The sequence below is a fragment of the Homo sapiens genome, chromosome 4, assembly GCF_000001405.40.
Source record: "Homo sapiens chromosome 4, GRCh38.p14 Primary Assembly".
Lineage (NCBI taxonomy): Eukaryota > Metazoa > Chordata > Mammalia > Primates > Hominidae > Homo > Homo sapiens.
The window spans coordinates 71,392,556-71,405,018 of record NC_000004.12 but is presented as its reverse complement, the minus strand read 5'-3'; the positions used below and the strand labels follow the sequence as shown (position 1 = coordinate 71,405,018).

Below are 12,463 nucleotides of genomic sequence, written 5' to 3'. Positions count from 1 at the left end.
CATGGCAAAACTGCATGTCTCAAAAAAAAATTATATATATATACACAAAAAAAAAATTAGCTGGGTATGGTGGTGTGCACCTGTAGTCCCCACTATTCAGGAGGCTAAGGTAAGAGAATAGCTTAAGCCCAAAAGGTGGAGGCTGCAGTGAGCCAAGATTGTGCCACTGTACTCCAGCCTGGGTAACAGAGTGAGACTCTGTCTCAAAAAGAAAAAAAAAGAATGATTCCCTATATATATTTACAATTTCTATAAAGTTTTAAAAACTGTACTCAAGAGTGTTCATCACAAGGTATTGCTGTTTTCTGGTTTTGTAACAATTTGCCACTTCCAAGAAGAAAAATGCTCGTTTCTTTTATGAAGTCTCTGTCAGATGTAAGTAACTTGTGATGTGAGAGTATACGTCCATCAAAGATTATTGTTGACAGCATGCTACTGTTCTCTGAAATATATTCTAGGTATATTCCTGGTATTGGCATACTGGCAGAATGCTACATATTGAAAAGAGAAAAAAAGTGACATCAAATGTAAAACATGCCAGTTTATTAAGATATGCAATAGCTACAATTTCTTTGGTTAAATGTTGAATACAGGGATGCAGTGCAATCGGAGTTCAATTCTTTCATAGGAACAGGTAAGAATGTGGCACAGAGCCCCTTTTTGGCTGTTCTGTCCTGTTCCTACACATCCTGATGCTCCTTTCTGAACCACAAAGACTAAGAAGGTTTCCTGTTACCATTCTTCAGAGAGGACTCCAGTGAAGCTTTCATGAATCATGTGTCATTAGCCAGTTGGCATGCCTCATGTTAGCCAACAGTAATAACAAGAGGACCACAGGTGCAAATATAATTACTCAAAAATTCAATCTCACTATTCTTGGTGGCTTACACCCACTTCTAGTGCATTAAATATTTCAATAATTAATATTTACTCATTAATAATGTAATATAATTAACAGTACATGGATGACCTTTTAACTGGGAAACTCTTTTTCTTTCTTACGATATTTCTATGGCACAGAAGAACTTCCTTTGCTGATAGTAATAAGGTCTTAATGGCTATGGCTAACACATTAAGAAATGGGCTCTTATGGGTCTGTGAGCTCTCATTTTAATGCACTGGGATATTCATACAATACTTAATATAGGAATAACACCAGACGATCCAACACATTCACAAATTTCTCCATCCTATCACATTGCATCTCCAGTGAGCTTTTTAAAATGTAAATCAGAACATACAAACTCTAGGTAAAAATCCTAAGAGAGTGTCTCACCGCACTCAGAATAAAATAAAAGGTCCTCCGGCCTATTTTCCTGACTTGTCTACCACTGCACACCTGCTACATTTGCTCCAGCCACTTATGATATTTTTTTTCCTGTTTCTTGAACACATCATCTTCATTTCTGCCTTAGGCCTCTACTCTTGCTTTTTGCTCAGCCTAGAAACCTCTCTCACCAGATCCTCTCCTTACTGGCTAACCCTCTTACCTAAAATAGTTTTCCTGTACCTCTCCACATTACCCTGCTTTATTTTCAAGATAGCACTTTTGATTATGTGAAATTATCCTATGTATTTATTGTTTTTCTTGATTACAGTCTGTCTCTTCCCAAAAGTATGGAAGTTCCATGAGTCAAAAGATTTATCTGTTTCATTCACTTCTGGAACCCACAACTAAGAACATTTTCTAGCACAGAATATACATTTTGAATGAATGAATTCAAATCATAGCTGCATGCAGTGATGGGGTGTTTTAGGAGTTCAAATTTATTGTAGCGCAGTTACTTAAAACCATAGCTCTAAATTTCACAAAAGGCTCCTTTTTTCCTAAAATAATACACGAGATAGAGTTCAGTTTACTTCATACAGGATCATCTACTTCAGTTTAAAGCTGATACAAAACCCGTTCTTAAATGAATGCTAGTTTTCTATTCCAGACAAATAGCTTTTAAGAATGTACAACATTAATAAATGCGGAGATGCAACTGTCCCAATTTTAAAATACATACCTTCTTTAAATCAGTATTAATATCAATGCTTCTCAAACCCTACTAATCCCTGTCAACTGTTTAAGCTTTAAGAATATGGGAGAAGCATAGAATGGGAAAAGGAAGCTATCTTAAGCCAAATTTCTTGTAGACAGGGAAAAAATAATGACAGACATGTTTTGTTAATTATCTAAGCACAAGCTGTTTCCCTGTGAAAGGGGCCCAAGGATATCATTGCATGGCTACACAAGTTCCCCTCAGGGACACCTGGCTGAAGGAAAGCTGTAGGTGCTGAGCCAGAGAGATGCTCACCAAAGTCACCAAAACTGTAGTGACTAAGGACCTCTAAGTACCCTAACTACCTTCTCACAACATGCCTTTGTTCTTAGGTTTTCACAGATGTGATTCCATCTGGAGCTCCTCTAACACAGCAATGTCTCACTGCTCCCTGAAAACATGCTAAAGACAATTATTATAACCTCAGAAAATATGAATCTTTCTTAGACACTGTACCTCCTCTGAGGGGTGAAGTAAGACCACCCACATTCAGTGTGAACTGTAGGTTTTTTTGACTGAGCCATGGAAAGGAAAAGGAGGTGCTTTTGTACTTTTCCTTCACTGTGAGCATGAAATAACTATTAATGCTAAGAGAAGCTTTATGTGAGCCCTGGGATGGAAATCTATGTTCAAAATCATGAGAAAAAGTCATCTCAGTGGACTTGGTTGACTCACTCCTATATCATGTATGTGTAAGAAAAGGATTGGGGGTTATTCCCCCAATAATCACAGGATGTTTCCTTCTAGATTTCATTTTAAGATAGTTATGGCTTAGCAACTTTAAACTTATACATGGTTAATGGTTTCATCCGCATACTTTCTGACAAAATATTTAAATTCAGGTCTATTTCCTTAAAAGACCAAGACTTCAAACACAAGAATCAAGGCAGCAAAATATATTTAAACATAATAGGCAACAGACAGTGCTAAAAATGATTCTAATATGCTTTAGAAAGTAACCTTAGGCAAAACTCCACCACAAGACCTATGGAATAGATTCTCAGATTAGCCAGCTAAATAATGAATATCACAGAAATAATAACCAGATAAGCAGTTACAAGGTTATGTAGACCTCAAGTGTCCCCCTGAGAATCTGCAGGCTATTTCTACATCTACTGCATCCACTGCAATCTACAGACTACAATTTCACTTGAGGTTGACATGTAATTGTGAGATGTTATAGCATTATTAATAAACCTGGAAAAAGTCAACATTTTTAAAGCCATTGCACCACTAAGCACAGTATTTCTACAAGAGTTAAAGCTAAGGGGTAAAATGAAGAGAAAAGCTCTTTCTTATCCTCATAGCTGAAGCCATATTCACATGAAAACTGTAACTAAATCCACTGCATTTGATAAGCACCCACCTCACATGTAAATTTTTAAAAGAACAGAAAAAGAATAAGAAGAAATGGAAAAGCAAATCAAAGGCAATCAAGAAACATAATTAGATAATGTGAAAAATACTCCATAGCAACAAAATAGAAGAGATTATTTATGTAGATTTACAACTAGATGAACTCCAGATGTATTTTTTAAATCTACTTCTCCACAGGTGTTTTTCTGCTTAATAAATATAACATCCAAGTTGGAATATGGTTGAAGCATTGAATCACCTAAATTCTGGCTATGCTCTTCTTCTGCTGTTAACTATTTTAAGCCATTTTTCAATAAAGCAGCCGCTACTGAAATCGTAAGCACATAGGCTTGGCAAAGCCAGAAAGAAAAAGTGCAGCCCACAGATTTGTTTCTTCTGTTTTCCCAAAACAGAATCTCATAAAAAATATGCCCTCAAATTCTGTCACTATGTAGCTGTCAGAAAGAGCAATTCTGTTCCTCTTCATAACTCTGAACCCATTCTTTGTGCTACTAAGAAGTTAGGTAGCTCCAGGAAGTTGCAAGGCACCATCACAACTGTTCAAATTGTATCCAGGCAGAATAATCAGTCAATCAGAAATTTCAGTCCTGGTCAAATGGAAGTTTTTGGGGCCAACTTGGACAAGTACACAAGACAAGTTTGAGTTTACTGCCAAGATCACTTCCAGGACACTGGCTAATTAATTATAAAAGCTTTCTCAAAACAAACATAAGCCTGGAAACCTTTTTTTTTCTTTCCTGTCCAAACAGAGAAGAAACAGGTTAAAAAAAAATAAAAGCCAGAGTTTATCACAGCTTCATCTTACTTGCAAATCCACTTTCCTTTTTCTTGCCCTAAAATGATCCAGGAGTTTTTGTATTTGAAGTTACCAAAATAGTAGGTATAGAAACTGAAAATGTTAGTTTGATTTCTGTACCTGTACCTTTGGTTGTAGAAGAGATTATGAATTAGTTACAAAAGCCTCTCTTCAAACTCTGGTAGGAAGAGAGAATGGAGTTTCTTCCTTTCTTGAAGAACTCATTGGATTAACTATATACACTGTAATAGATACAAATTAGATTAATAGTTGGTCTTATAATTATATATTCATCAACCTTCCTTTGCTGGCTTTGAAAACAAAAGGAACATTCCTGAATTAAATTTTCCTCGCTTCATCTAAACATGAACCTTGATGACTATGAGATGCTAGTGATAGGCACTGAAGATTCTGGTTTTAAAGACTCCATTCCCATGGGCTTTATAACAAAATCAATACCCACAAAAAATGTTCCACATATTTCTTCTACTACTGGAATCAAAATTTTATGTAATATGCATCTTAAGCCATCAGATTTCTTCTGCATATGCCCAGATATGAAAAGACCCAATAAGTTAGTAAATTTATCTGTCAGCATTTACCAGCTGCTTCTTGCCAAATTCCTGGCAAAAGGAGAGCTGCCCTTAATAAAAGAAGGCTTCCTCAAGAACTCCATCAACAAGATATTCCTAAGCTAATTAGTACACTGCCTTAACCAGTATTAAGACTCATGGCAAACCTTGCAAATAATCAGCATGGCTTGGTAAGCAATGAGTGGAGACAAAATGTGCGAAATAAATTTAAGAAAACTTCTAGTGGCCTGAGTTCTCCCTTTTCCACTACAGGTATGTATCTACCAATGTACCCATATTTAAATGCTCTTCTTCCTGATCATTTCAAGAGGTAGAAAGATGAAAGGAAGGTGACAATCCACATTAGCATCTGAAGGAGCAACTGAAGGAGTCAAGAATTTATCTCAATGTAAAGTGGGAGGTAAGTAAAGAAATTAGTCCTGACCTAAACAGAGTCCCTCTTCTGGGGAACACAAATGAATAAATGAAGACAAGACGGATAACATCAGATTTCAGAGCATCATAAAGGTCATCAAGAAGTCCTGAACTTAAAATGATGGGAAGCCACTAACCATTTTTAATCTAGAGTAGAAAAATGAGGGCAACTATGTAAAAAGTATATTGAATTGAGAAAAAATGGGGACAAGGGATCAATTCCAACAGCTTTTCTAGCAATTCAGATCTGAGATGATGAAGACACTACCAGGGAGGAAGGAAGGAAGGAAGGAAGGGAGGGAGGGAGAGGGGGAGGGGAGGGGAGGGGAACGGAGGGGAGGGGACGGAAGGGGAGGGGAAGGGACGGGAGAATGGAATGGAATGTACACCCTTCCCGTACTTTCTAGAATTCACCAAGGCCTATAAACCTCTATGACTACTACAAGTGCTGTCAGTTAAAGAGGAACACCATCATGAATATGGCTTCTTGAAAAAAATCAGCAAAGTGTGAAAAGAAGAATCTTCAAACTCACCCACTTAAAAGACAGAAAGAGAAAGAACAAGTCATCCCTCAGTATATGTTGGGGATTGATTCCACAACCTCCATCAGATAACAAAATTGGACAATGCTAAAGACTCTGATATAAATGGCATACTATTTGTATATAACCTACACACATCCTCATATACACTTTAAATTGCTCTAGATTACTTATAATACCTAATATAAATGCTATGTAAACAGTTGCTATGATGTATTATTTAGAGAATAATGACAACAAAAAAAAAGTCTGTATGTGTTCAGCACAGACACAATTTTATTTTCATTCTGTCCATGGTTGGTTGAATCCATGGATATGAAACCACGGATATGGAGGACTAACTGTACAATTAGCATATCAAGCATGGAGCCAACCAGAACCATCTCTTCTACTATATCAAAAGACAAAATGGTAAGTTAAAAGAGCAAGGATCAGATATTTGATTTTCTGAGGTGAGTTATGTATTATAGTTTCCACTTAGCAAAGAACAAAACTAGTGTCCATCATCACACAACTAGCCAGTTTTGGAACAAGTAGCAAGACCAGATTTTCTTGCTTCATGTTCCTTCTTCTTTCCAATATATGCTACTTCTCCTTCAATCCTGGGGAAACAGTCTTAGGATTTCTATGATTTTTTTAAATATATTGCTTTCATTTCTTCAAAACTTTGAAATTTTTTCATTTAGGAAGCATCATTTTTCCATATACTATATTCTTAAAATATAATTTTCTTGCAGAGATATTTACGTAGCTGGGCAAAAATGGCCCAGTTTACACCATATTCTCTTCCAAAGAAAGCAAACAGATATTCAAAACCTGATTGCTCTTCATTCAACTATATGTTTTAATAGACAAACAAATATATAGCTAGTGAGAACTTAGCTGTCATTACCTTGCCCTAAAGTATCCCCCAAAAGTTAACAACAATTTCAGCATTTCTTAGCATTTCTTTTTTTTTTTTTTTTTTGAGACAAAGTCTCGCTCTGTCACTGAGGTTGGAGCACAGTGGTGCGATCTCAGTGCAATGCAACCTCTGCCTCTCGGGTTCAAGCGATTCTCATGCTTCAGCCTGTGGAGTAGCTGGGATTACAGCCCTGTGCCACCGTGCCTGGCTAATTTTTGTGGTTTTAGTAGAGACGGGTTTTGTCATGTTGGCCAGACTGGTCTTCAACTCCTGGCCTCAAGTGATCCGCCCACCTCAGCCTCCCAAAGTGCTGTGATTACAGGCATGAGCCACTGTGCCAGGCAAGTATTTCTTTATAATTTACCAAAGTATTTTTTTCATAAGTTATCTCGTTTAATCCCTAGAATAAACAGAAGGCAGGGATTATTACTATTTTAAAGCTGAGACAACTATTGCTTTAAGATTTAAATTGCCCAAGTGATGCATCTGCAACAGCTGAAGTAAACGCACATTTTTCCCTTCTGATTCCAGCTCCCTTCACACACTGCTTCTCCTTCTGCCCAGGAAAGTGCAAACTGTTGTCTGCACGTAAAGGTCCATTTTAAGTGAAGCAACCATCACCTCTAATCCTTTCTCAGCATCTTTTAGATATACGTTCTCTTACATTTCAAAGAAGCAAGAATTTTTTGCTTACCTGGTCCTTCTCCGGTTTATCAGAAATGTCATTCAGACTGGAGGAAGTCAGATTCCTATGGGTCATGGCTGGGCTACCTGGAAAAACACAAGTAAACTCTAATTAAAGACTTCTTTTCAATAACACAAAGACTTTGGTGGTATACTTAATAAACATTAGTAGATGATGATGGAAATGGTGATGATACTTTTAACCACACTAGGATTCTTCTGAAGAGTTTTCCAGAGTCCAGGTTGGAGTACAAACATAGTTAAATGTAAAGTATGTAAAATCTCAAATACCTTGTTTAGGACTTACTGCCTGGTTCAGTTTCAAGGTAAGCTAAACTTTGAAAGAAACTTCTAAGACAATAAGCATAAAAATAAAATTGTTCCTGGTTTTGTTCACTCTTTGTCATTGCCCTTTACATACATGCTAATCTATCTGGTTTCCTTTCCTTTTCCTGTTGCCTGCAGAGAGCGGCTGTTTCCTCATCTTCAGCAGAGCTGACCCTGGATGCCAGGCCCAGACCTCCTCTCCCCCAGGCCTTTGCAGCCCTTCCTAGCATGCCACTCACTCAGATCAACCTGAAAAGTCTTGGTCAAAGTGTTCCCTTCTCTGGCTAACACTTGGATCAAGAATATTTCTCATTAGTGGGCATCTGATGTAGAATCCTCACTCTTTGCCTCAATGTAGTGTTATCACAGGCTGCCTTATTTCTCTGCATTCCCATTTGCCAGAATAAAATAAGTATATCCTCTTTTCCCCCTTAACATGTTAAACCTCTTCTTCAAGTGAAAGGATGGATGTCATCGGAATACTACATGGGAACCAATCTCCCTGACCATATAGCAGCTGTCAATATGGTTCACCGGTGATCCATCCAATGATTTCAGACACTATCATACACAAATAGAGAGGAAGGACATGTAGAAGAGCCACAGGCTGTTTTCAAGTAGACCATGTTAATCAACAGAATACTGAACTTTCATTCTGCAGTTGGACCTGAAATTTCTAGGCTTGCTAAGCAAAAAAAAACCTAACTTTTCAAAGCCAAGATGTTTGACCCAACTGCTGCAGGGTGCTGAGTAATGCATTCATCCTTAATCCTCAATGATCTGACTCAGGCTGCTCTTTACAGCAAGAGGACAAGGGTTGAAAAGAAGCACCGAAGTTCTAACATAGCTTCACATTTGCTTCCAAATAATTCTTTAGATTAGACTTTAATTCCTTCAGATACAGACCTCAACATATAATTTCACAAAAGACTAAAATCTGCCCCTAATAAATTAATGCCTATATAACAGCAGCTATTTAAATATCATTCCTTTTAACTACCAGATCAGAAAAATTATAATTTCCTTGAACTGGCAAGACAGGATATTTTCCACTCTGCTGCATTTCATCAAGTAAGCATGGCCTAGATCTCTTAAATCTTTTACCTGGTTGGGTGTTTTATTCTAGGAAAATTTAAGCACAGAGCATTATTCAAAGGAAAATAACATTTGAAAATGTGCTTTATGTGCAAAATTAAAAGAACCCCTTTGAAGGGCACATTTTCTTCTTTGAGCCAGGTATTAGATTTCTAGTGTCCACTCAATACAAAAGACACTAGGTACAATCTGAATGCCCCCAAATAATGCTGAGATTGAAACTAATAGAAAATGATGAGTACAGACAATTTTGCACTTGACATTTAAAAACAAAACCAGCTATTTGGACTAACTGAGTAAAAGTTCTGCCTGAATAAGTGAATAAATCTGAATTATACAATCCTAAAGCAATGAAGCCTTAGCAATCCTAATCATGTTGAAAATAGCTTATGTAAATAAATAGGTAAGATAAATTTCTAATCATCAAATAATTTATATGTAAGTGGCAGTACTGAAATAAATTTAAAGCAGTTTTCCATTAAGTAATTTAAATTTCCTAGCCAATAGCCTAAAGTCATTGATTTGCTATAGGCACTCTTTATAAATACTGCAAAGGCACATTTCAGCCCAAGCACTGTCCTAACTGCTGCAAAATCTGAATAGGTAGAAGCCAAATTAATGAGGTTTTCATTATAATTGTAATCTTGATTGATGTGACAGCTTTTCCAAGAAACCTTATATACCGTCTCATCATTCTTCGCATTTCTGAAAGACAGTGATAGTATGGCTATCTATATTTATACTATATGAGGAGCAAGAGAAAGGTTCAGGTCCAAGAAAAATGCAGGAACCAGATGAGGAAGAGAAGACTAGTATTAAGAAATAATCAAATCTGTTTCCTCTCCTAACTTTCTCTGATTCTCATTAATAAAAGTAATTAATATTAACAGCTTCACTAATGTTTAACACTGCAAGAGTCTGCTAGTCAACACTTCTAGTAACTAAGCAAGATGATCAGCATTCTTCAATCTTTTTCCATCCCCCTCCCTACCAAACTCCCCATCCTGACTTCCCAAGACCTTGAAGCAGAGACAAATCCTTCCCAATCCTCTAAATCAGTGGTTTCTACAGTGAGGTCTCCAGACCAGCAATATCCACATCACCTGTACGCTTGTTAGAAAGGCAGATTATTGACACTCACACCAGAGCAATTCTTTATTTTATTTTGTTTTTCCCATAAATTACTGGGATACAGGTGGTATTTGGCTACGTAAGTTCTGTAGTGATGATTTGTGAGATTTTGATGCACTCATCACCCAAGCAATATATACTGCACCATATTTGTTGTCTTTAATCCCTCACCCCCTCCCACACTTCCCCTCAAGTTCCCAAAGTCCATTGTACCATTCTTATGCCTTTGCGTCCTCATAGCTTAGCTCTCACATATCAGTGAGAACATACGATGTTTGGTTTTCCATTTCTGAGTTACTTCACTTAGAATAACGGTCTCCAATCCCATCCAGGTCACTGCAAATGCCATTAATTCATTCTTTTTATGGCTGAGTAGTATTCCATCCTATAAATATACCACAGTTTCTTTATCCACTCGTCGACTGATGGGCATTCGAGTTGGTTCCTCAATTCTGCAATTGTGAATTGTGCTGCTATAGTAGTTCTACTTTTAGTTCTTTAAGGAATTTCTACACTGTTTTCCAGTTTTCCATAGCAGCTGTACTAGTTTACATTCCCCTCAGCAGTGTAGAAGTGTTCCCTGATCACCGCCATCCACACCAACATTTACTGTTTTTTGATTTTTTGATTATGGCCATTCTTGCAGGAGTAAGGTGGTTTTGCATTGTGGCTTTTATTTGCATTTCCCTGATCATTCCTGATGTTGGGCATTTTTTTCATGTTTGTTGGGCCATTTGCATATCTTCTTTTGAGAACCGTCTATTCATATCCTTAGCCCACTTTTTGATGGGATTTTTTTTTCCTTACTAATTTGTTTGAGTTTGTTGTAGATCCTGGATATTAGTCCTCTGTCAGATGTGTAGAATGTGGAGAGTTTCTCCCACTCTGTGGGTTGTCTGTTTACTTTGCTGTTTCTTTTGCTATGCAAAAGCTCTTTAATTAAGTTCCAACTATTTATCTTTGTTTCTATTGTATTTGCTTTTGGATTCTTCGTCATGAAATCCTTGCTTAAGCCAACGTTTATAAGGGTTTTTCCAATGTTATCTTCTATAATTTTTATAGTTGCAGGTCTTAGATTTAAGTCCTTAATCCATCTTGAGTTGATTTTTGTATAAAGTGAGAGATGAGGATCCAGTTTCATTCTCCTACCTGTGGCTAGCCGATTATCTCAGCACCATTTGTTGAAAAGGGTGTCCTTTCTCCACTTTATGTTTTTGTTTGCTTTGTTGGAGATCAGTTGGTTGTAAGTATTTGGGTTTATTTCTGGGTTCTCTATTCTGTTCCATTGGTCTATGTGCCTATTTTTATAACAGTATCATGCTGTTTTGGTGACTATGACCTTTTAATATAGTTTGAAATCAGGTAGTGTGATGCCTTCAGATGTTCTTTTTACTTAGCCTTGCTTTGGCTATGCAGGCTTTTTTTTGGTCCCATATGAATTTTGGAATTTTTTTTTCTAACTCAGTGAAGAATTATGGTGGTATTTTGATAGAGTTTGTGTTAAATTTGTAGATTGCTTTTGACAGTACTGTCATTTTCACAATATAGATTCTACCCATCCATGAGCATGGGATATGTTTCCATTTGTTTGTGTCATCTATGATTTCTTTCAGCAGTGTTTTATAGTTTGCCTTGTTGATGTCTTTCGCCTCCTTCGTTAGGTATATTCCTAAGTATTTTATTTTTTTGCAGCTATTGTAAAAGGGGATGCATTCTTGATTTGATTCTCCGTTGAGTCGCTGTTGGTGTACAGAAGAGCTACTGATTTGTGTACATTAATCTTGTATCCAGAAAATTTGCTGAAATCTTTTGTTAGTTCTAGGAGCTTTCTGGAGGAGTCTTCAGGGTTTTCAATGTAAACAGTCATATCATCAGCAAACAGTGTCAGTTTGACTTCCTCTTTACCGATTTGGATGCCATTTATTTCTCTTGTCTGATTGCTCTGGCTAGGGACTTCCAGTGTTATGTTGAAGAGGGGTGGTGAAAGTGGGCATCCTTGTCTTGTTCCAGGTTTTGGAGGGAATGCTTCCAACTTTTCCCCAGTTAGTATTATGTTGGCTGTGGGTTTGTCATAGATGGCTTTTATTACATTGAGGTACGTCCCTTGTATGCCAATTTTGTTGAGAGTTTTAATCAGAAAGGGATGCTGGATTTTGTTGAATGCTTTTTCTGCATTTATTGAGATGATCATGTGATTTTTTTTGTTTTTAATTCTGTTTATATGCTGTATCACATTTATTGACTTACATATGTTAAACCATCCCTGCATCCCTGGTATGAAACCCACTTGATCATGGTGGATTATCTTTTTGATATGTTGTTGGACTCGGTTAGCTAGTATTTTGTTAAGGATTTTGGCATCTATGTTCATCAAAGATTTCAGTCTGTAGTTGTCTTTTTTGATTATGTCCTTTCCTGGTTTGGGTATTAGGGTGACGCTGGCTTCACAGAATGAAATTCCTTCTTTCTCTATCTTGTGGAATAGTGTCAAAAGATTTAGTACCAATTCTTCTTTGAATACGCCTGACCAATTCTATCAACACTCTGGATATGAG

The 12,463-nt window shown here is 37.0% G+C and overlaps 1 protein-coding gene across 13 annotated transcripts in view; it reads right to left on the bottom strand.

Annotated features, from left to right (window-relative positions):
• Positions 1-12,463, bottom strand: part of SLC4A4 (solute carrier family 4 member 4) — a 509,424-nt gene that overhangs the window by 167,065 nt on the left and 329,896 nt on the right. For all 13 annotated transcript variants that reach the window (XM_024454268.2, NM_001440628.1, NM_001134742.2 and 10 more), the window contains one exon: positions 7,366-7,442. In XM_024454268.2, coding sequence (XP_024310036.1) covers positions 7,366-7,442 — 77 coding nt within the window. The remainder of the gene's footprint in view (positions 1-7,365; positions 7,443-12,463) is intronic.